Source organism: Homo sapiens, chromosome X (assembly GCF_000001405.40).
Source record: "Homo sapiens chromosome X, GRCh38.p14 Primary Assembly".
Classification (NCBI taxonomy): Eukaryota; Metazoa; Chordata; class Mammalia; order Primates; family Hominidae; genus Homo; species Homo sapiens.
The window spans coordinates 39,644,905-39,646,477 of NC_000023.11; positions in this window are offsets into that span (position 1 = coordinate 39,644,905).

Genomic DNA, 1,573 nt, shown 5'->3' on the forward strand with positions numbered 1-1,573 from the left:
AGGTTGCAGCGAGCAGAGATTGCACCATTGCACTCCAGCCTGGGTGACAAAGCGAGACTCGGTTTCCAGGAAAAAAAAAAATTATCATTAAAGCTACAAACAAGATGGTGGGGGCCCTTCTTCCAGCAGAGAGCTGGAGAGACGAAACACCAGCTTGGGGGGAATACTTTAAGGGTGTTTCCAAGACTGGAGGTCTCAGCTTTAATACCAAAGCCACTCCTGCCCCACTTCCACGCCAGCCACCACTTTTCACCCCTCCCCTCCCCCACCCTGGGAAAACCTAGAAAAGTTTCGGGACTTCAGGCCTGGTGCAGCCCACCTCCCTCGGTCATTCAAATCAGGGCCTGGCAGGCCCCCAGGAGGGAGGTAACAAAATTAAAAATAGCCTCTCCTCCAAGAAAAAAAATTAAAAATAGATTCCAACCCACATGAAAATTTGGGTGGAAAGAAAGGAAAGGAAAACAAAATGAATCATCTTTATGTGTTTTGCTGAGCGAGAGCCCGTTGCCATGGCTACGGGGCCCTGTGTGCAGGCCTGGTCTTTTCCAGCAAGTTCAAGGCCCGCCAAAGAGCCAGTGGGGGCGGCCCTATCACCAATATGTTATAGCCATCGGATCCACGATCCCCCAACGCAGTCGCTGCCACTGAGCAGGTCGTATTAATGACTGTCACAATTAATTTAGTGTTTCCTTCCGTTGTGATCTATCGCTGTAATTGAGCAAACGAGAGGACTTGTTTGGGTCTCCTGGGAGTTTAGGGAAATCTTGCCTGGTTTTGCAATCTAGACAGTCAGGGGAGGTTATGCGAACTTGTGGAGAAGCCCGGTCTTAAATCATAGAGTGGGAAAGCCAGCTCTCCAGCCTGCATCAGCCAGCCGCTGTCTGCCTTCCTGGTGGGCTCGCTGGTGCTGCACGTGAAAGGCCCCATGAAGACAAGGAAGGGTAAGAGGATCAGCAAGTCCGCATGGCCTCACTGGCTGGTGAAACAAAGCTGGGACAGTGGCCCAATCCCCCCAGTAGGTGATGTGCTTGGGAGACACTCCCCCAGATTAAGAAAAGCTGGATTCATGAGGTCCCCTTCTCAGAACTGGAGTTTTAGGCCTTAACCTAAACTGGAAAGGGCAGCCTAGGGCTTTGGAGAAGGCTCTTGTCTCACATACACTTTTCTAAAACAGTAGTGTTCTGCCTTAAGAAAACCAAATACATTGAAAATTCAAACTTACAAAATAAATAAGAGGGACAGGGGAGGAAGAGAAAACTCACTTCATAAAGAATTTTTTACTTTAAAATAATTGGCCTGGAAATGTTCCACATAAGAAACAAAAGAGACATGTCAACTAAATTCAATATCTGATCTTAGACTAGATCTTATGCTATCGAAAGCATTATTAGGACAATTGACAAAATTGAAATATGAATGGTAGAACAGATTAAAATATTACACTTATGATAAATTTACTGAAGTGGATAACTATACTGTTGCTAACTGTACTGTGGTTCTATAAAAGAATATTCTTATTCTTAGAAAATATGAAAGTATTTAAGAATGAAGGGCCATGATGTATGTAACTGCT